Source organism: Homo sapiens, chromosome 8, assembly GCF_000001405.40.
Source record: "Homo sapiens chromosome 8, GRCh38.p14 Primary Assembly".
NCBI classification, from domain to species: Eukaryota; Metazoa; Chordata; class Mammalia; order Primates; family Hominidae; genus Homo; species Homo sapiens.
In genome coordinates this window covers 39023580-39047975 of record NC_000008.11, presented here as the reverse complement: position 1 = coordinate 39047975, position 24396 = coordinate 39023580, and the positions used below count along the sequence as shown (strand labels likewise).

Sequence of the window (24396 nt, the reverse complement as noted above, 5' to 3'; positions counted from 1 at the left end):
ACACTCCAGCCTGGACAACACAGTGAGACTCTGTCAAAAAAAAAAAATACAAGGAAAGCTTGCTGTGATAACCTATATTAAAAAAAAAAACTCAAATAAACAACCTAACTTTACAACCCAAGAAATCTGAAAAGCAACAGAAAATTTAAACCCAAAATTATCATAAGGGAAATAATGAACTTCAGATCAGAAATAAACAAAATTGAGACTAGAAAAAGAATTGAAAAATCAGCAAAACCAAGAGTTAGTATTTTTCAAAAGATAAGCAATATTAACCAATCTTAGCTACACTAAGAAAAAGAAAGAGAAGACTCAAAATCAGAAATGAGAAAGGAGACATTTCAACTGATGCCATAAATAAAAAGAATTATAAAAGACTACTATAAACATTTACACATCAACAAACTGGATCACCTAAAAGAAACGGATAAATTCCTAGAAACACACATCCCACCAAGACTGAATCATAAAGAAATAAGTCTGAACAGACCTATAAGTAGTAAGGATATGAATCAGTAATCAAAAACCTCCTAGCAAAGAAAAGCACAGGACCAATGGCTTTACTGGTGAAATCTACCAAACATTTAAAGAACTAATGCCAATCATTCTAAAAATTCACCCAAAAAATAGAGGAGGAGGAGAAAATTCCACTCATTTTATGAGGCCAGCATTATCCTGATGCAGACTGTATCACCAAGGCCAATATGCCAAATATAGAAAACTACAGGCCAATGTGCCAAACAAATACAGATGCAAAATCCTCAACAAAATACTAGCAAACCAAATTCAGCAGCACATTAAAAGTAAAATACAACATGACCTAGTAGAATTTATCCTTGGGTATAAATTGGGATGGCTCAATATACAAAAATCAATTAAGGCTCAATATACAAAAATCAATTAATGAGATCAGGTGCAGTGGTGCACACCTGTAATCCCAGCACTCTGGGCGTCTTACGCAGGCAGACTGCTTGAGTCCAGGAGTTCGAGACCAGTCTAGGCAATGTAGCAAAACCCCTTCTCTACAAAACATACAAAAATGTGTGAGGCATGGTGGCATATGCCTGTAGTCCCGACTACTCAAGAGGCTGAGGCACGAGGATCACTTGGGCCCATTAGGTCAAAGCTGCAGTGAGCTGTGTTCACAGCACTGCAGTCCAGCCTGGGCAACAGTAAGACCCTGTCTCAAAAAAAAAAAAATTTAATTAATTAAATAATGAGATATACCACATTAACAAAATGAAGGATAAAAATAGCATGATCATCTCAATAGATACAGAAAAAGCACTTGATAAAATTCTACACCCTTTCATGCAAAAAGCTCTCAACAAACTAGAAATAAAGGAAAATAACTTCAACATAATTAGGCCATATATGAAATTCCCATAGCTAAAATCATACCTAGTTGTGAAAAACAAAAAGCTTTTCCTCTGAGATCAGAAATGAAGCAAGGATGCCCAATCTCGCCACTTCTATTCAACTTAGTATTGGAAGTCCTAGCCAGAACAATTAGCAAGAAAAACTAAAAGGCATCTAAATCGGAAATGAAGCAAAACTGTCCCTCTTTTAAGATGACATGATCATACATATAGAAAATCCCAAAGAGTCCATCAAAAAACTTGTTATAACTAATAAATAAATTCAGTAAAGTTGCAGGAAACAAAACTGACACACAAAAATAAGGTCATTTTCACATACTAACAATGAACTACAAAAAGGAAATTAAGGAAACAAAGCTATTTACAATAGCATTGAAAACAAAACATTTGTGAATAAGCTTAACAAGTGAGGAAAAAGATCACACACTAAAAACTTACAAAACATTGCTAAAAGAAATAAAAGATGATACAAATAAATGGAAAGACATCCTATGTTCATGGATTGGAATAATTAAAATTGGTAAATTGTCCATATTACCCAAAGTGATCTGCAGATTCAATAAAATCCATTCCTCAGAAGAAGAAATACAAGCAGCTGCCAAACACAGGAAAAAATGCTCAACATCATTGAAAATCAGAGAATGCATATTAAAACCACAATGAGATATCATCTTACAATAGTCAGAATGGCTATCATTAAAAAGTCAAAAAAAAAAAGGCTGATCTTGGTGCAGATGCAGAAAAAAGGGAATGCTTATACATTGTTGGTGAGAATGTAAATTAGTTCAACCTCTATGGAAAACAGTATAAAGATTTTTCAAAGAACTAAAACTAGAACTACCATTTGACCCAGCAATTCCACTACTGGGTATCTACCCAGAGGAAAATAAATCGTTATGTAAAAAAGGTATCTGCACTCATATGCTCATTGCAGCACTATTCACAATACCAAAGTCATGAAACTAATGTAAGTGTCCATCAACAGTCGACTGGATGAGAAAAATCTTTTATATATATATATATATACACACACACACATATACACACACACATATATACACACATATGCACATATATATGTATGTACACACACATATGTATACACACGCACATATAGGTGTGTGTACACACACGCACATATAGGTGTGTGTACACACGCGCACATATAGGTGTGTGTACACACGCGCACATATAGGTGTGTGTACACACACCTATAGGTGTATGTACACACACCTATATGTATGTACACACATGTATAGGTGTACACACACATGTATAGGTGTACACACACATGTATAGGTGTACACACACATATACATATGTATGTATACACATATATACACATATATGTATGTATACACATATATACACATATATGTATGTATACACATATATACACATATATGTATGTATACACATATATACACATATATGTATGTATACACATATATACACATATATGTATGTATGCACACACACATATGTATGTATGCACACACACATATGTATGTATGCACACACACATATGTATGTATGCACACACACATACACATACATATGTATGTATGCACACACACATACACATACATAGGTATGTGTGCACACACATATACACATACATAGGTATGTGTGCACACACATATACACATACATAGGTATGTGTGCACACACATATATACATACATATGTATGTGTGCACACACATATATATACATATATATGTATGTATACACACACACACATACACACACCCCACGGAATACTATATGTAGCCATAAAAAAGAATGAAATCATGTCCTCTGCAGCAACATGGATGGAGCTGGAGGCCATTATCCTAAGTGAACTAACTCAGAAACACAAAATCAAACACTGCATATTCTCACTTATAAGCATGGGCTAAACAATGCGCGCACATGGACATAAAGATGGAGGTGATGGACACTGGGTAACTCCAAAAGAGGAGAGGGTAGGAGGAGAGTGAGGGCTGGAGAGGGTAGGAGGAGAGTGAGGGCTGACAAATTATTTATAAGGTACAATGTTCATTGTTTGGGTAATGGGTACACCAGAAGCCCAATCCCCACCAGGATACAATATACCCATGTAACAAACATACATATGTACCCCCTGAATCTAAAATAAAATAAAATTCAGACATATAGACCAATGGAACAGAATAAAGAATGCAGAAATAAAAACCCACACATATGAGATCACCTGATCTTCAACAAGGATGCTAAGAAAAAGAATGGTGAAAAGGTAGTCCCTTCCCCCGTGGAAAACTGGATATCAACATGCAAAAGAATGAAATTGGAACCTTATCTTACGCCATACACAAAAATCAACTTAAAATGGATTAAAGACTTAAACATAAGGCCTGAAACAGTAAAACTCTTAGAAGAAAACATAGAGGAAAAGCTTCATGACATTGGTCTTGGCAATGATTTCATGGATATGATGCCAAAATTACAGGCAACAGAAGCCAAAAATAGACAAGTGGGGCTATATCAAACTAAAAACCTTCTACACAGCATAGGAAGCAATCAACAGAGTGAAAAGCCAAGTTATGGAATAGGGGGAAATATCTGCAAACCATAAGGGGTAAACTTTCAAAATATACAGGAAGAGCTACAGCTCAATAGCAAAAAATGAAAAACTAATAACCTGATTTAAAATGGGTTAATTTTCCTAATTGAAGTAACTCAGAAGCAGAAAGTCAAATACTGCATGTTCTCACTTATAAGTGGGAGCTAAGCAATCAGTATTCATGGATGTACAGAGTGGAATAACAGACACTGGAGACCCCAAAAAGTGGGAGCATGGGAGGGGTGTGAGGGCTGAAAAATTACCTTTTGGGTACAATGTTCACTATTTGAATGACAGGTACATGAAAAGCCCTCACTTTACCAATATGCAATATATACATGCAAGAAATCTGCATTTACATCCCCTAAATATATAAAAATGTTAAAAGAAACAAAAAAATAATTAAAACAGGCCTGAGACTTAATAGACATTGCTCCATGAAGACACACAAATAGCCAACAGGTATATGAAAAGATGCTCAATGTCACTCATCATCATGGAAATGCAAATCAAAATCACAATGAAATATAATTTCATACCTGTTAGGATTGCTATCACGGAAAAAAACAAAAGACAACAAGTGTCGGCAAGAATGTGGAGAAACTGGAACCCTTGTGCACTGTTGGGAAGAATGCAAAATGGTGCAGCCACTATGGAAAATAGTACGAAGGTTCTTTTAAAAATTAAAAATATAACTACCATGTGATCTAGCAATCCCACTTCTGGGTACTTATCTAAAATAAAATCAAGATCTTGAAGAGATATTAGCATTCCTATGTTCACTGCAGCATTATTCACAGTAGCCAAGATGTAGAAACCACCTAAATGTCTGTCAACAGTTGAATGGATAAAGAAAATGTACATACATACATACATATACACACATACAATGGAATACTATTTCCCAAAAAAGAAGGAAATCTTGTCATTGCAATAACGTAGATGAAACTTGAGTATACAATACCATGCTAAGAGAAATAAGGCAGCCACAAAGGACATAATACCATTTGATTCCACTTATATTAGGTATCTAAAATAGTCAAGTTCATAAAAGCAGTGAACAGAATAGTGGTGGTCAGGGGCTTGTGGAATGGAAAATGGGGAGCTGCCGATCAACAGATACAAAGTTTCAGTTACACACAGTGAAAAAGTTCTAGAGATGTGCTGTACAACACAGTACCCAGAGTTAACAATACTGTACTGGACATTTAAAAATCTCTTAGAAGGATCAATTTCATGCTAAGTATTCTTACCACATTAAAGTAAAAATAAATCCTAAAACAAGCCCAATATTTATAAATGTACCTACTGTATACTGTATATAAATGAACAGAATAGTCTAAAAAGAAAAACATCAAACATAAAAAAAGGAAGTAAAAGATTTATGGGGGAAATAAACGTGTGTAAGGTTGCTTTTACTTACTACTTGAATTTTTTTTTTTTTAGAGTGCTACTTTGAGTAGCAAGAACTTTGAATACTGAAGGACGCTGGAGGACAGGCCAGCTCCAATTCATTTTTAAAATGAGTCCAGCTAAATAAATATTCCTGCAATGGCAGTGCCAGAATGGTGAAAGCTTACAAATAAAGAGCCAGGTGAAATTCATTCTTTAAAGCAAATAAGCTAATAACCATAAATCATAGAAAATAGCATTAAAAAAGTAGAGAATAAACATGGCACATTCCCTGACTTCAAAACAGATGGCACCGTTAGTCATACTCTGAGAAGAAGGAGATGACCAATCCCTGGAACACAGCCATACAAACAAAATAACAATCCTCACTGTGCCACTAAATTTTACTTTAGCTCCTATGTCAGAGTTGCCCAAAGCAAGCCATTTTATTTCTTGCAAATATCATGGCAATTTTACAAGGCAAAAGTCAAAAATTAAACTGACCTTTGGAGTACCACAGTCACACTCTTCCCCAGCGTCCACCAACTTATTACCACAGGAGGGAGCACTATAGGCTTCATCAGGCTTTGGAATATTAAGAAGGCAGTTTCCTCCTTTATTTAAAGTTAACTTCTCAAAGTCCTCTGCACTGCAACTGCTAAAGTTTCTGGAACCCCTATAATAAACATTAAGAAAAAGATCTATGTCACAGTGATTACTCACTTTGAAAATGTTAAGTCATGACTTTAACCCACAAAATGTGAATATTTTAAATGACAGAAAAGAAGCTAATAAAAGTGGACAGAAATGAGAATTCATATCTACTTGTGATAAATATTGAACATTACTTCAGCTACTATATAATAATTCACTTTTCTTACAATATATTGTACTTCCAATAAAATATCTTTAAAACATATCACTTACATTGAAATACAAAATGATAATTCTCAGCATCAGAAGAGACTTTAAAAATTATTTAGTCCTATGAGAATAAAGTTTTATTTATCTAACACAGTAAAGGTTCTTCAAATATTGGAAGGTAGCTGTACGTTGTCTCCAATCTTTTTTCTACTCTGAAGGATAACATTTTTATGTTCACCCATGCCCATTACCACTTATTAGGAGCTCTGCAAAAATAATGCAAATGGGCAACTCCAGTTCAGATGCACACTAGCCATCAAAAGGCAGACTGCACAGTGTAGAATTTCAGCTACTCCTATATGACAAGTTTTCAACTTGAGCTTTACATATAATAAATTTTATGATAATTCCTGGGAACCGTGGTTAGTACTTTGAAAGTTAGTTGGCCTTTAAGAAATGTCCAACTTGAGCTATGTGAGATTTATATAAATGCAATTTTGATATGTTCTACCTGGGATTTTTTTTTTAGCTACTACTTTACTCAATAACTATAAAATACTTTCAGGTAGTCCCACTGGCTATTTTTACCTTTGAAAACTAGTGGAAATTACACCTATACATCACCTATATCTTTGAGGAATCCATGTCACATTAAAATTCTATTTTATTTTTGCTTTTGTAGACTGAGTTTTTGGTGTGATATCCAAAAATCATTGTTAAGGCCAATGTCAAGGAGCTTTTCCTCAACGTTTTCTTCTTAGAAAGTTTTACAGTTTCAAGTCTGACATTTAGGTATTTTATCCATTTTGAGTTGATTTTTGTGTATGGTGTATGATAAGGGTCCAATTTCATTCTTTTGCATGTAGAAATCCAGTTACCCCAGAACCATTTATTGAAGAGAACTATCCTTTCCCCATTGTATCCTCCTGGTGCCCTTGTCAAAAATTAATTGACTACACATGTTTGGATTTGTTTCTGGGCTCTCTATTCCGTTCCATCGGTCTACGTGTCTGTTTTTATACCACTACCATGCTGTTTTGATTACTATAGCTATCAAACTAAAAAGCTCTGCACAGCAAAGATAACAACCAACAAAATGAAAAGTCTGCAGATTGGGAGAAAATATCTGCAAACCACATATCTTATAAGGTGTATCTTATAACCATGTATCTTATATCCAAAATATATTTTTTAAAACTCACACAACTCCATAGTAGAAAAACAAATAACTCGATTTTTAAAATGAACAAAAGACTTAAATAGACATTTCTCCAAAGATGACATAAAAATGGCCAACAGGTGCATGAAAAGATGCTCAATATCATTAATCATCAAGGAAGTGCAAATCAAAACCACAATGAAATACCACCTCACCCTTGTTAGGATGACTACCATCAAAAAGAGATAACGGCCAGGTATGGTGGCTCACCGCTGTAATCCCAGCACTTTGGGAGGCTGAGGCGGGCGGATCGCTTGAGGTCAGGAGTTCCAGACCAGCCTGGCCAACATGGTAAAACCCCGTCTCTACTAAAATACAAAAATTAGCCAGGTGTGGTGGTGCACGTCTGTAATCTCAGCTACTTGGGAGGCTGAGGTAGGAGAATCGCTTGAACCTGGGAGGCAGAGGTTGTAGTGAGCCGAGATTGCACCACTGCACTCCAGCTTGGGCAACAGAGAGAGACTCTGTCTCAAATAAATAAATAAATAAATAAAAGAGATGACAAGTGCTAGTGAGAGTATAGAAAAAAAGGAATCTTGAGCACTGTTGGTGGGAATGTAGATTGGTGCAGCCACTGTGGAAAACAATAGGAGTTCCCTAAAGAAATTAAAAACAGAACTATCATATGACCCAGCAATCTCACTTTTGGGTATACACCCAAAGAAAATGAAAACACCACCTCATAAAGACGTCTGTATTATCCCATTTTCAGTGCAGCATTAGCCAAGATATGGAAACAAACAAAGTGTCAACAGTTGAATGGACAAAACTGTGGCACATATAAGACTGGTAATTATTCATCCTTATAAAAGGAGATCCTGACATTTACCACAACATGGAGGAACCTGGAGGATGTTATGCTGCGTGAAGCAAGCCAGACAGAAAAAGAAAAATGTTGCATGATCTCACTTATTTTGGAATCTAAAAAAAGAAGTGGAAAATCCAGAGACAGAAAATAAAACACTGATTATGGTGGAGGTGGAGGAAATGGGACATGTAGGTCTGATACAAAGTAGCAGATATGTAAGACAAACAAGTCTAGAGATCTCAGGTACAGCATGAGGACTATAGATAATAATATTGTATTACATTCAAGATTTTTGCTAAAAGAGATTATAGGTGCTCTTTGCCACACACACAAAAAATGGGCAACAATGTGGAATGATGGATGTGTTAATCTGCTTGACTAACCATTTCACCACCTATATTTACATCAAAACATGTTGTACATCTTAAATACAATAAAATTTATATCTTACATATATTTGTATTTTTTCAAGGGAATTTGGTACCCTGAATCTCTTTTCATCAGTTTGAGCAATGGTACCAGAAGTAGCAGCAGGAGTGAAAGCTATGTTGCATTCTAGTTAATGAAGAAGCAGCCCTATCTATAGCTTGGTCTTTTGTATATCCAAGGAACTCTAAGAAACATATTTTTTGCCCTGAGTAGTCATGTTAAACTCTTCTTTGCTAACTGGTCTCTAGAAAAGTTGATAGTACTGACTCCTGCCTCTTGGATTGGAATGCAGTCTGCCTAGAACATTTTGGTACTGTTAACTGCTGTTTGACCAAAAAAAACAAAAAAAGTATCTAGATGTAGGACGTGGAAGGATTTTAAAAGACTGGCAGAGAAAGAAAAAAGAAAGAACATAAACTATCAATGGTTTGAGACAAAAGAATAGGCAAAGACAAAATTCTGACTCACGGAAAGAAAACATTTAGCACAAGGCTTTTGTCAATAACAGAAAGACTTGTCTTCCTTATTCTTTTTCTTGCTACTAAGAATATTGTGGGGAGGAGTCCTTTTGTGCAATATCAATCAACCACTCACTCAACAAATATTTACTGAATATCTATTATGTACAAGGCATTCTTCTTGGTGCAAGGGATGAAACTGTGAACATAGCAGACAAAAATCCCTGCCCATGTAAAGGTTATGATTATGATTCAGTGATTTACTTATATAATAAATTAGATAGCATATTATAAGGTAATAAGTGCTATGGGGAAAAAAGGCGACGGGGTGTGGGTGTGATGAGCTCTGCAGAGGAAGGGATGCTTGTGATTTTAAAAGGGCAGTCAGGACAGGCACCTCAAATATGTGACAGTTCAATCAAAACTGTGTATCTGGGAGGAAAACACTATAGAAAGAAGGAATAGCAAATGCAAAAACTCTGGGGTAGAAGCTTTCCTGGCAGACTGAGTCAGTGAGGAAATGAGTCATGAGAGATACAGTCAGCAAAGACAGGAATAGGCCATTGTAGGAATGTGGCTTTCTACTCTAAGTGGAATGGGGAAGTTGGAAGGGGAAGACCATGAAAAGTGCAGGAGTAATGTGATTTGACTAATGTTTTAATAGGATCACCATACTTGTTCTATTAAGAGGAAGACTACAAAGAAGGCTCTTAGAGAAATCCACCAAACAGATGATGATGGACCAAAATGAAACAGTGGGAGCTGTAAGAAGTGGTTGGATTGCTTTTGTTTTAAAGGAACAGCCATTAAGATGAAGAGTGAGAAAAAAGAGAAATCAAGAATGACTCCCAGGTTGTTGTCCTGGGATACTAGAAGGAAGGAGTTACCATTAATTCACATGGGGAAGACTATGGGTAGATCACATTTTAGGACAACTTTAGGAGGGATCACAGGAGTTTGAGCCTATTAGACATCAAGTAAAAATGTCAAAGCAGTATAAAATAATTATTTGATAAACAAAGAAGACTGCAGTTTAAACAGAGGCTTGTAATTGTTTTTTATTTTGTACTGTTGATCTTTATGTGGTAAGCACAGCGCCTGCTACATGGTATACATGCAATAATGTTTTCTGTAGGAATATATTTAATAATGTAATCCCAATGCTTTGGGAAGCTAAGGCAAGAGGATCACTTGAGCCCAGGAATTCAAGGCCACCTGGGCAACATAATGAGACCCTGTCTCTACAAAAAATAAGCTGGGCATGGTGGTGCACACCTGTAGTCCCAGCTACTCAGGAGGCTGGGGTGGGAGGAGTTTAAGGCTGCAGTGAGCTATGATCAAGCCACTGCTCTCCAGAGACCCTGTCTCCAAAAAAAAAAAAAAAACACACACACACACACACTTAAATATATATTTAAATATATATACTACATAAATATATATTTATAAATTACATATATTTAATTAGACAATGGCCATAGAACTTGCGCAGGCAGGCCGGGCGTGGTGGCTTACGCTTGTAATCCCAGCACTTTGGGAGGCCGAGGCGGGTGGATCACGAGGTCAGGAGATCGAGACCACGGTGAAACCCCGTCTCTACTAAAAATAAAAAAAAAAAATTAGCCGGGCGCAGTGGCGGGCGCCTGTAGTCCCAGCTACTCAGAGAGGCTGAGGCAGGAGAATGGCGTGAACCCGGGAGGCAGAGCTTGCAGTGAGCCGAGACTGCGCCACTGCACTCCAGCCTGGGTGACAGAGCGAGACTCCGTCTCAAAAAAAAAAAAAAAAAAAAAAAAGAACTTGCGCAGGCATATGTATAGTCCTATATTTTAGTCCCTAATTTCAACCTACATAAAGTCTACCACCTCTAAACAAGTTATTTTTTAAATAAGCTCATTATCTGGTAGTTGAAGGATATTTTCTTATAAACAATGTTTCAAATGCTTGATCCTTCAGCAATCTACCAAAAAAAAAAAAAAATTCACCCACATGAATTGACTATAGAACTAAAAAGCATAACAAAATCATAGACACTTGTGGTGCTTTTTAACAGATGGGAGATAGTAACAACATCCCCTGTGTTGGCCTTCAGTGAGACTTTAAAATGCTTTAGAGGCTACAGTGAAAATACCCTTCCACTAGCCATCACTGGCTGGCACCTATGGCAACAAAAAGAATGATCTTTCTCCTGATACGGGGCTTGAAGAGCAACTCAAGTATTTCTACTCTCTATCACCTCTAGACTCTACAATATTAATGATTTATAGCCTCTCCTCCTCTCTTTTCTCACATCTAGGTGATTTTCCCAAAATGGCTTCAAAAGGAGATCGACAATAATGAAAATGTTTTACATGGAAATGACAAAAAAAAAAATTTCAACTATCATTCAAAACATATTTATTTGAGTCCTCTGAAAATTCCCAGAACACAATTTTCACCATTACTATGCTGATTCCCACAGCCTAGGATTAGGAAGTCTTAAGAGAAGATTCTAAGTGCTGGTACTGAATTAGATTAAGAAAAAAACACCTGATTATGGAAGCTTGCTGATGGAAGCTTGCTGACATTGAGGGGCAGAGTTAAGAAAGCCATTTTTCTAGAAAGGCACCTCCCAGGAAGAGCAACTCACACTTTCCAGAATCTAACAGCAATGCATAAGAATACCACTGTGCCCCCAAAATATCATAAACAATAACAAAAAAATCTTATTACGAGGGTAGATTATCCATTTTATTAAATGGAACTGGCTCCCAATGACTGAGTTATCTGAGGGGGAAAAAATGAAACATGTACATCACTAGCATCTAAAAAAAAAAGCCAAACAAAATGATAGAAAATTAACATTTATTAAACAGCCTATGAAGTAGAGGGTAGGAAATATGCCCTCAAAAAAAGAAAGTTTAATATCAGCTTGGTAGTAAAAAGGAATCTGAGGAAAAATAAGAGAAAAAAATATGTATTACCTAGGATAACCTCATCCTAGTTCAGAAATTATTCTTTTTTTTGTTTTGTTTTGTTTTGTTTTGTTTTGAGACAGAGTCTCGCTCTGTCACCCAGGCTGGAATGCAGTGGCACGATCTCAGCTCACTGCAAGCTCTGCCTCCCGGGTTCATGCCATTCGCCTGCCTCAGCCTCCTCAGTAGCTGGGACTACAGGCGCCCGCCACCATGCCCGGCTAATGTTTTGTATTTTTAGCAGAGACGGGGTTTCACGTATTAGCCAGGATGGTCTCGATCTCCTGACCTCGTGATCCACCTGCCTCAGCCTCCCAAAGTGCTAGGATTACAGGCGTGAGCCACCGCACCCGGTCTAGAAATTATTCTTAAAAAAAATTTTAAATATAACAGCTACACAATATAAAATACCACATGAAGCCACAATACACTACAAGAAAGAAAAAAACGAGCAGATAAAGTCCAATAAAGACTCCTAATACTAGTTCTAGGATTATCAAATGATAGCCATAAGACATTTATGCTTACTATGATCAGAGACAAAAGTGACAAGCATGAAAATTTGGGCAGGAAACTAAAATCTACAAAACTAATATATCAGATTTGAAAAAGAACCAGACATAAATTTGACAAATGAAATAAGCAAAATTAATAATTCAATGGATAAGTTTAACAACAGACAAAATACATATGAAGACAGAATCAGTGAGCTGAAAGATATCAGAAGAAATTACACAGAAGAAAAAAACACAAAAAGATAGGAAACATATTTAAAAAACTAAGAGACAAAGGAGACATAGTGAGGTCTAACACACAGTTCACTAGAATCACAGAGGCGTAAGAGAGACAGCAAATGTGCAGACACCCTGTGTACACAGGCAATATGTAAAGACATGACTGAGAATTTTCCGACTGATGAAAAATATCAAGCCACAAACTTTAAAACACTAAAAAATTTCTAAGCAGGATATGAAGACATATATGTGTAAATGTGTTATATATACATAACATACGTATGTATGCATGTTGTATATTTTTTTCTTTCTACAACAGGAACATGATAATGAAACGTCAAAAAAAAAAGTTTAAAGACAAAATTGTGAAAACAGCCATAGGTAAATAGACAGATTCATTTCAATGGAATAATGGTCTGACACCTTGACATCTCAACAACAACATGGAAAGCAAAAGACAATGGAAAAATCCCAATATGATGAAAAATAACTGATGATCTACGATTCTATATTCAACAAAAATATCCTCAAAAAACAGAAACAAAGACACCCTCAGGAGAAAAACAAAAACAAAAACTAAGAGATACACTACTACTAAAAACACATTAAAGGAAAGTCAAAACTGGTTCTTTGATCAGACTGAAAAATGGATACCAAATGGAAGGTCAGAGATGCAAGAGGACCAAAGAGCAAGGGCAGTGGTCAAAATCTAAATGAATAATGATAAACAATCACTAATATCTTCCTGGCACACAGCTATATGAGTCAAGAAAGTGATGAATGGAGTTAAGGCACGATATAGCCTTTGAACTGTGTGGGGAAGGATAAGATTTAATAGTAGACATGATAAATAAGAACATGTGTAATAATTTCTAGGGTAACTTTAAAAAAAATAAAAGACTGCATAATTTCCATTCTAGAAATATGTCTAGAAGAAAAACAGTATCTACTAAAAACACTCTATCTGGCAGTGCACAGTGGCTCACACCTGTAATCCCAGCACATCAGGAGGCTAAGGTGGGAGGATTGCTTAGGCCTAGGAGTTCAAAACCAGCCTGGGCAACATAACAAGAACCCATTTCTACAAAGTGAAAATAAATATAAAAACACTCTACCAACCCAAAAGAAATAACACAGAAGATTTTGTTGTTGTTGTTGTCGTCCCATTTTTAACTGATACACAATAGATGTATATATTCTCAGGATACATGTGATCACTTGATCCATTCATACAATGTGTAAAGACCAAATCAGGGTAATTGGAACATCCATCAACTTAAATATTTAAGACCGAAAACTTTTAAGAAAAAAACCATAAAAGAAGACAAATAAAGGAGATATAAGATGGTAGATTTAAACCCAAATGCTGTATTTAATTGATTCTAAAACACATTCTTTCCATATTTAAATAACTTTGAAACTGAGATTCATTTCAGATTACAATTGACGTATTAATTTCATTGACACCATATTTCTTTCTCAGTGGTATGGAAAAAGTGGTGTATCTTATAATCAATGGCATTTAGATTTGATTAAATGGATCAGTAATTACAGTAAATATAAATATATTAAGTGATATAATTATAAGACATATATTTTCAATTTGGATTAAAAATAAAATTTAAATATGTTTTAGAAGCATAACTATTAAAAATAAAAAAAAACACACTGTCAATGCTAAAAAAAAAATGTGAGGAAGGTAAAGCAATATCAGATTGGTAGTCCTAGCTACTGCAGTGAGAAAAGAAAACAAAGTAAAAGGTATACTGACTGGAAAGAAAGAAAAACTGTCTTTGTACAGAGATAATATGATCATCTATGTAGAAAATCAAAAAGAATTGAAAAAGACTCCTGGAACTAAAAAGCAATTACAGTAAGGTTATAGGATACAGGGTTAATATACAAAAGTCAATTACTTTCCTATATGCCAGCAATGAACAAGTAGAATTTGAAATTAAAAACATAATATCATGTACATTAGGACCCCCAAAAATGAGAGTTAGGTATAAATCTAACAAAATATGTATAAGATCTCTATGGGGAAACTATAACACTATCTGATGAAAGAATCAAAGAACTAAATAAATGGAGAGATATTTCATGCTCACATACAGGCAGACTCAATATTAAGATGTCAGTTCCCCAACTTGATCTATACATTCAATGCGATCCTAATCAAAATCCCAGCAAATTAGTTTGTGGATATAGATAAAACTGATTTTAAAGTTTACATGGGGTGGCAAAAGACCCAGAATAGCCAATATAATAGTAAAGAAGAAGAACAAAGTTGGAGGACTGGTGCTACCTGACTTCAAGACTTACTCTAAAGCTGCAGTAATCAAGACCGTGTGGCCATTCCAAGATGGCCGAATAGGAACAGCTCCGGTCTGCAGCTCCCAGTGTAACAGACGCAGAAGATGGTGATTTCTGCATTTCCAACTGAGGTACCTGGTTCATCTCATTGGGACTGGTTGGACAGTGGGTGTAGTCCACAGAGGGTGAGCCAAAGCAGGGCGGGGCATCGCCTCACCCAGGAAGCACAAGAGGTCAGGGGATTTCCCTCTCCTAGCCAAGGGAAGCCGTGACAGACTGTACCTGGAAAATTGGGACAACCCCACCCAAATACTGTGCTTTTCCAATGGTCTTAGCAAACAGCACACCAGGAGATTACATCCCACGCCTGGCTCGGCGGGTCCTACGCCCACAGAGCTTTGCTCACTGCTAGGGCAGCAGGCAGATTGACCTGTGAGGCAGCAGCCTGGCAGGGGGAGGGGCGTCTGCCATTGCTGAGGCTTGAGTAGGTAAACAAAGCAGCCAGGGAAGCTCAACTGGGCGGAGCCCACCACAGCTCTGCAAGGCCTGCTGCCTCTGTAGATCCCACCTCTTGGGGCAGGGCATAGCTAAACAAAAGGCAAGAGAATCTTCTGCAGATTTAAACGTCCCTGTCTGACAGCTCTGAAGAGAGCAGTGGTTCTCCTAGCACAGTGTTTGAGCTCTGAGAACAGACAGACTGCCTCCTCAAGTGGGTCCCTGACACCCATGTAGCCTAACTGGGAGACACTTCCCAGTAGGGGCCAATGACACCTCACACAGGCGGGTGCCCCTCTGGGATGAGGCTTCCAGAGGAAGGATCAGGCAGCAATATTTGCTGTTCTGCAATATTTGCTGTTCTGCAGCCTCCACTGGTAATACCCAGGCAAAAAGGGTCTGGAGTGGACCTCCAGCAAACTCCAACAGATCTGCAGCTGAGGGACCTGACTGTCAGAAGGAAAACCAACAAACAGAAAGGAATAGCATCAACATCAACAAAAAGGACATCCACACCAAAACCCCATCTGTAGGTCATCAGCATCAAAGACCAAAGGTAGATAAAACCACAAAGATGGGGAGAAACCAGAGCAGAAAAGCTGAAAATTCTAAAAATCAGAGCGCCCCTTCTCCTCCAAAGGATCACAGCTCCTCGCCAGCAACGGAACAAAGCTGGACAGAGAATGACTTTGACAGGCTGACAGAAATAGGCTTTAGAAGGTTGGTAATAACAAACTTCTCCAAGCTAAAGGAGGATATTCGAACCCATCGCAAGGAAGCTAAAAACTTTGAAAAAAGATTAGACAAATGGCTAACTAGAATAAACAGGGTAGAAAGGACCTTAAATGGCCTGATGGAGCTGAAAACCATGGCACGAGAACTATGTGACGCATGCACAAGCTTCAAGACTGTGTTATTAGCAAAAGGTGACAGATAGATAAAGAGAACAAGATAGAGAGCCCAAAAAGAGTCCTACATAAATACAGCTAACTGATCTCTGACAAAGGAGCAAAGGCAATACAATAAAAGATAATCTTTTCAACAAATGGTGCTGCTACAATTAGATATTCATATGCAAAAAATAAATAAATAAATCTAGACACAGATCTTACATCCTCCACAATTAACTCCATGTGGATCAAAGGTCTAAGTGTAAAATTCAAAACTCTAAAACTCCTGGGAGATAACATGGGAGAAAACCTAGATCATCTTGGATATGGCAATTATTTTTTAGATACAACACAAAAGGCATCGTCCATGAAAGAATTAAAATATTAAATGTATGCTCTGTGAAAGACAATATTAAAAGAATGAGAAGATAAGCTGCAGACTAGTAGAAAATATTTGCAAAAGACATATTTGATAAAAGACTCTTATCCAAAGTATGCAAGCAACTCTTAAAACTAAAAAATAAGAAAAGAAACAATCTGATTAAACAATGGGCCAAAGACCTTCACAGATGCCACAAAGAAGACATAAAGAAGGAAAAAGATCATCTACATCCTATGTCATCAGGGAAATGTAAATTGAAACAATGAGATACCACTACATGCCTATAGGAATGGCCAAAATCCAGAACACTGACAACACCAAATTCTGACAAAGATGTAGAGCAACAGCAATTCTCATTCACTGTTGGTGGGAATACAAAATGGTATAGCTACTTTGGAAGACAATTTGGCAGTTTCTTACAAAACTAAACATACTCTCTTAACATATGATCCAGCAATCGCATCCCTTGGTATTCACCCAAAGGAGCTGAAAACATGATCACACAAAACCCTGCACACGGACACTTATGGCAGCTTTTTTCATAATTGCCAAAGCTTAGAAGCAACCAATATGTCCTTCAGTAGGTAAATGGTTAAACTGTGGTACATCCAAACAATGGGTTATTATTCAGCACTACAAATAAATGAGCTATCAAGACATGAAAAGACATGAGGAGCCTTAAATGCATATTGCTAAGTGAAAGAAGCCAATATGAAAAGGCAACATACTGCATGATTCTAAATATATGATATTCTGGAAAACACGAAACTATGGAGACAGTAAAAAGATTAGTGGTTGCCAAGGGTTGGAGGGGTGGGGAGAGATGACTAGGTGGAGCACAGAGGATTTTTTAAGGCAATGGAAATACTCTGCATGATACCATAATGAGGGATACTTGTCATCATACACTTGTTCATACCCATAGAATGCACAACACCAAGACTGAACCATAAAGTATGGACTTTGAGAAATCATGATGTGTCAATATAGGTTTGTCAGTTTTAACAACCATACCACTCTGTTGAGGGATATTGAAATGGAGAGACTATGCAAGTGTGGGGACAGAAAGTATATGGGAGGAGTCTTTCTACTTTCCTCTTGATTATTCTGTGAACCTAAAACTGCTTAAAAGAAAAAAAAGTCTTCTCAAAATATTGAAGAGGAAGGAACACTTCCAAACTCATTTTATGAGCCCAGCATCACCCTAATATCAAAGTCAGACAAGGGACAACCAGAAAAGAAAATTGTAAGTCAATATCCCTAGCAACATAAATGTAAAAATCCTCAAAACAAATACTAGCAAACAGAACTCAACAACACACCAGAAACATCAGGCCCTCCGACCAAATGAGATTTGTACCTGGGACACAAGGACGGTTCAACACACAAAAATGTATTAACACCACGTTAACAGAATCAAGGATCAAAGTCACATAATCATCTCAACAGGTGCCAAAAAGGCATTTGATAAAATTCAACATTCTTTCACAACAAAAGATCTCAACAAACTAGGAAGAGGGAAATCACTTCAATATAATAAAGGCCATATATGAAAAGCCCACAGACAACATCATACTCCACAGTGAAAAATCAAAAGCTTTCCCACTAAGCTGGACAAGACATAGGTACTCACTTTGGCCACTTCTATTCAAGAGATAAGAAGTCACTGGGAGAATAAGGCTGAATAATTCACCTGGAACCCTCTCTATTATCAGTGTTATCAGTGTCCCTCTACCTCATGTTATCAGTGTTATCAGTGTCCCTCTACCTCATGTTATCAGTATCCTCATGTTATCAGTGTCCCTCTACCTCAACTCCTATGGGGTCAGTCTCCCCTGTGGCTACAGAGACTCTCCAAGATCCAGTAATGAACAGTTCACTCCCTTTCTATCTACTGTATCCCTAGCAAGTTTATACACATTCAAGTCAACCAAAAAAAAAAAAAAACAACAACAACACTTTTTTGGCTCTTCCCTTGGGAAAATGATGGATACCTTAAATTTGAAATCATGTTATCTTCATATTTAAACGTCAATATGCACTGTTTTAAATATAATATTCAAAAATACCATTCTCCTCAAAATATTTTAAGTATACTGTAAGTCTGCTTGACACAGGGTTGACTTTAGGGGAGTGGTTTTAAATACCAACTCACTCAGGTTTCTGTTATTAACATCCAGTTTTGTCATACTGAAGCCTGTTCTGTTGTTTCACCACCCTCCGTCCTCCCAATCCTCCACATTCTGCTCTATTTTATTTCCCATAGCACTTATCGCCTTCTAACACTCTATATTATTGATTTTCTTATGTTTATAGATTGTCTTCCCCCCAGATGTAAACTCCTTGAAGGGTGAGTCGATCTAACTCACTGAGGTATTCCAAGTGCTGAGAACAAAGTCTGGCAGGTGGTCAGTGCTCAATAAATGTTTGACAAGTTGGTGAATAAAGTATGGGTCCACTCTTCATTGCTTCCTATACCATATTAAATTCCACTATGGCACTGTTTCATAACATTCCCTCCTTACCTCTGAATGCTTCTTTTTTATTTTAATCTATGACTTATCTCATTGCTCATTACACATTTCTTGTTTCCCTGAACTCACGTCTTTCTCAACTTCACTGCTGGCCAAAGCAAATCCTAAATTTACTTCCCTCTCCTACAGGAAATCTTTTACAAACATATGACGTTCCTTACATACCTAATTTTTTTTTTATGAAGCATGGCTTTTTGTAAGTACTATTTTAACTCTTCCATATCTATTTTTGAGCCTAGTATTTGTTCAAAAACTGTAAATTCTGCTTGAGTGCTTCCCTTTATACTAGCATGTGATTGAAATTGTCTTGTCCACTCAGAACTTCAGCTGAAAGGCTGGTTGACAGAAGTTTTTATTACTCTGTCAGTGCTTCAGGAGCCTGAGGGAGGTGGGAAGTGGCATGAACACTTGGGGCCACGGATATTCCCCATGTGAAATCTTCATCTGTGTTTGTTTTGAAACAGGGTCTTGCTCTGTTGCCCAGGCTGGAGTGCAGTGGCACAATCATAGCTCACTGCAGCCTTGAACTCCTGGGCTCAAGTGATCCTCCTGCCTCAACCTCCTGAGTAGCTGGGACTACAGGCACGCACCAACACACCCAGTTAATATTTTATTTTTTATTTATTTATTTATTTTTTTTTAGAGACAGGGTCTCACCGTGTTGCCCAGGTTGGTCTTGAACTCCTGGTCTCAAGCAATCCTCCCTAATTGCTGAGATTATAGGCATGAGCCACCAGGTCCGTCCTGTATTTGTTAAAGATATCACCTCTCATATCTAATTTTCACTCAGGCTCAACATCTACACACGTACGAACTACAGTTACATTCAGCTCTCTGCTTAGGACTCCTGCCTTCTAAATTAGGAAGGAACCTCGTTGGCATTACAACGAATCTGCATTAGAAATCTATATTTCTGATGCCCAACCACCATGGGATCTTCTATTATAATTATTTTTTAGCTCTGGGACAGGAAAGGGTTCTCAGATCACAGGCTTTGACTTCCTGACTTTGAATCCCAGTCAGCAATTTGGATGTGTGACCTCAGTTTCCTCATCTGCAAATGGAGATAAAGTATGTGCACCTCATTTCACTGATGAGTAGTAAGTGAGTGGATACGTTTTAAATGGCTACAATAGTGCCTGTACATAAAAAGAGCTTAACAAATGTTAACCATTCTCTCTCCTCTTCTCTGTCTTGCCTCCCACCTTTATCTCTATAAAACAGGGTTTGTTAATAGAAATATATCAGGATCTCTTCTACCTACAGTGACAATGCAGCACTTTCTCAAAAAGAGGTTTGTGAAGAAACTTCTTATGCAGTCCTTCAGTGTAATCCAATCCACACTGAACCTAGCAGAAACTCCCTCTTAATTTCTAATTCAGATAATAAACTTTGCCATGTTCTTATACTTTCAGTCTATAACTGGTTTACAGAAGAGTGTAGTTACATACTTGTGCCTACATAAGTATTGCCTTCTTAAAGCTCTCTGGAATCATTTAATTAAAAAATAGACTTCAGCAATACATCAGGTAACAAACTCCACATGTACCCCCTAAATCTAAAAGGCTGGAAAAAAAAAAAAAAAGACTTCTCATTGGTATGTCATGCAATTAATTTCAGCAAACCGGAAATAACATTTCCTGTTTTCCCAATGTAGACATGAATATCCCTCACAGTGTAAGAAACATGGATCTACAATACCAAATAAAGGAGAAGAAGAACCCAGGTACTCACGATGCTCCTGAATTCATGATGCAGCTCTTTGCTCCACAGGAACAATCTCTCCCATCATCGTGATTCATTCCAAGATTATGACCCAATTCATGAGCAACAATGGAAGCAAATGTCTCCACAGTGATTTGTCCAAACTGTTCAGAACAGGAAGGTAGTAATTAGGTTTCTGAACGCAAAGAAAATGTTTTGCTGCTCAGATTATTTTTTCACAAAAGGAAATTTATTCACTACACTGTTGACAGCCTACGTGATAAATCAAGCATCCAACAACAGTCTTTATACATTTCAGTCTAGTAAGAAAGTAACATGAATCACACACGTGATGGACATGGATCCTTCAAGCAAGAGGTCAACCACTTTAGCACCAACAGATTACTTATGGTAGTTTATAGGAAAACAAGTTAATGGTTCTAATTTAATTCTCTAAAATGGAGTACATGTTTCCTCACCCATAAAAAGTAAAGAGCTACACTCATAAGTGGGAGTTGAACAATGAGAACACATGGACACAGGGAGGGGAACATCACACACCGGGGCCTGTCGGGAGGTGGGGAGCAAGGGGAGGGAGAGCATTAGGACAAATACCTAACATATGCGGGGCTTAAAACCTAGATGACGGGTTGATAGGTGCAGCAAACCACCATGGCACATGTATACCTATGTAACAAACCTGGACATTCTGCACATGTGTCCCAGAACTTAAAGTAAAATAAAATGAATAAAAAAGAAAAGAGCTAATAAACACATAGCACATATTTAAAAACTTGACCCAGTCTCTGGGGAAAGAACCCATCTGCGACTTCTACTGTGTTCCTCATAACACCCAAAATATTGTTTTAAGGACCAGGGGAGGAAGTATACAGTCAATAAATGCTTGATATTGTCCCAGTGCAAACATCCAAAGTTAAACATCAAGAACAACGTACCACATTAATCCCGCCTGCGTGGCTCCTTGAACACACTGTTCCCACAAATGCCATTCCTGCAGTTCCACCAAAACCTTTCTTTCTAAATGAAAATGTAAAAGTTAAAAAATGTTCTTGGGGAAAAAAGGAACACATTGCTTTTATTTTATGAATAATCTCAACTGGATTGGGAGAACCTACAAAACATGGCAGGAAAATGGCAAAAAAAAAAAATTCTAAAATCAGAATATACTTATGCCTTATCTCCTTCTTATTAATTTTTTCAGACAAATGAAGACACTTTCTGGATACCGAGACAAGTTTGTTTCTTTTTACCTTCTAGGTGAAACCTCTCCTAAAATACATTAGGTTTATTTATACACTTATTATATTTAACTATATATTAAAATACACATTTTAGTGAGGAGAGACAGATAACGAATGAAATGAATATGTTTACACGGGCAGCTGCAGGGCAGTGAGCAGGGTGAACATGAGGAGTAAGGATGGGCCAGACGTGGTGGCTCATGCCTGTAATCCCAGTACTTTGGGAGGCCGAGGTGGGCAGATCACCTGAGGTCAGGAGTTTGAGACAAGCCTGGCCAACATCATGAAACCCCATCTCTACTAAAAAAACAAATACGAAAATTAGCCAGCCATGGTGGCGCACATCTGTAATCCTAGCAACTCGGGAGGCTGAGGCAGAAGAATCATTTGAACCTGGGAGGCGGAGGCCACAGTGAGCCAAGACTGCACCGCTGCACTCCAGCCTGGGTGATAGAATGAGACTCTGTCTCCAAAATAAAAAAAAAAGAATTCAGGATGGGCCCTGTGTGCCTCCCCAGTCACACCCCACACACCTGTACCTCAGCACCTGTTCCCTCCGCCTGGACCTCTCTTCCCTAATATTAATATAACCCAGACTCATTCCCTCACCTCCTTCAGGTCTTTACTCAGAAGGCATCTCCCTGGCTAGACCATGTCACCTCAAAATTCAACAGTGAATAACACTGTTTTTCTAAACTTTTATCTAAAATTTTAATCACAACCTCCAATGCTTTTATATCTACCCTCCCGTTTTATTTTTCTCCTTACCACTTATCATTGGTTAACATACTACATGTACTTATTTATCACATGTATAGCCAATCTCCTCCACCAGAACATGGACTCCATGAGAGCAGGAATTTTTGCCAGTTTTGTTCACTGCTATGTCCCAGTGTCTGGGGTATACACCCAATAAATATATTTTAAATGAATGGATAAATCCTTCTCTGGGCCATCTGACCAGCCAGGAGAAGATGACCAGAGGTACTGACATAAGGAGATTGACAAGGACATTCCAGCCAAACCACCCTATAAGGAACTCATAGGCCCCAAAATGCACTCATGGACTCAAGGCTTCCAAAAAGGTTTTCGGGACCCCATTCTCAACTGTAAACAAACAACTAAAAATCATCAAGCATCTGGGAAATGTCTCTAACAGGACAGATGGAGACCACACAAAGAGAGGGGGTTAAGATAGTTTGGTGGGTGTGGTTGGGCAAGGCATAGTGAGTATGCTTGACACCTGCTCCTTATGGTATTTTGTGAACTAGATGGCATTCTCACTGGTACGAGGATGTGTGAGCGTACGATTTTACTAAAAATTAAGACCCACACCAAAACACATCATCAGGAAAATTCAGAAGCCTGGGAACCAAGAGAAGATCCTACAAGTTTCCAGTGACGGGGAAAAACAGGCCACATACAAAAGGTCAGGAATCAGAATGTTTCAGACTTCCCAATAGTAATGCTGGGACAAAAAAGACAAAAGAGCAACGCCTTCAAAGTCGTGAAGAAAAAGGATTTCACGGATACAATTTTATACCCAGTGTCACGCCTATAATCCCAGCACTGTGGGAGGCCAAAACAGGTGGATCACCTGAGGTCAGGAGTTCGAGACCAGCCTGGCCAACATGGTGAGACCCCATCTCTGCTACACTACAAAAATTAGCCAGGTGTGGGGGCAGGCACCTGTAATCCCAGCTAGTCGGGAGGCTGAGGCAGGAGAATTGCTTCGACCTGGGAGGCAGAGGCTGCAGTGAGCCAAGATCGTGCCACTGCACTCTGGTCTGGGCAACAGAGTGAGACTCTGTCTCCAAAAAAAAAAAAAAAAAAAAAAACAAACGCAAAAGAAACTCAAAGCATGCCTAGGAAATACTGAGTTACTTAGGCCTAGAGTAATCAGAACTCAAATTGAGATAATTTTTCAATTCTGTTCCGAAACTGGGAAACCATATTTTCAGACACACAGGAGGTCAAAATGTTTTCTTTCTATATATCC

At 37.7% G+C, this 24396-nt stretch overlaps 1 protein-coding gene across 7 annotated transcripts in view, besides 1 other annotated feature; it reads right to left on the bottom strand.

The window, feature by feature from the left end:
* Positions 1-24396, bottom strand: part of ADAM9 (ADAM metallopeptidase domain 9) — a 108289-nt gene that overhangs the window by 57286 nt on the left and 26607 nt on the right. For all 7 annotated transcript variants that reach the window (NR_027638.2, NR_027878.2, NR_027639.2 and 4 more), the window contains exons 10-12: positions 22092-22173; positions 21166-21299; positions 5859-6030 (exon numbers count right to left, since the gene is read on the bottom strand). Coding sequence is in view for 3 of the 7 variants with exons in the window: in NM_003816.3 (NP_003807.1) it covers positions 5859-6030; positions 21166-21299; positions 22092-22173 (388 nt within the window). In the remaining 4 variants the exon portion in view is untranslated. The remainder of the gene's footprint in view (positions 1-5858; positions 6031-21165; positions 21300-22091; positions 22174-24396) is intronic.
* Positions 15472-15766: a silencer, noted in NCBI's record as "tiled region #279; K562 Repressive DNase unmatched - State 14:Gen5'". NCBI's record gives its function as "represses a minimal TATA promoter and a strong SV40 promoter by Sharpr-MPRA in K562 cells {active_cell/tissue: K562}" and the evidence as "EXISTENCE:reporter gene assay evidence [ECO:0000049][PMID:27701403]".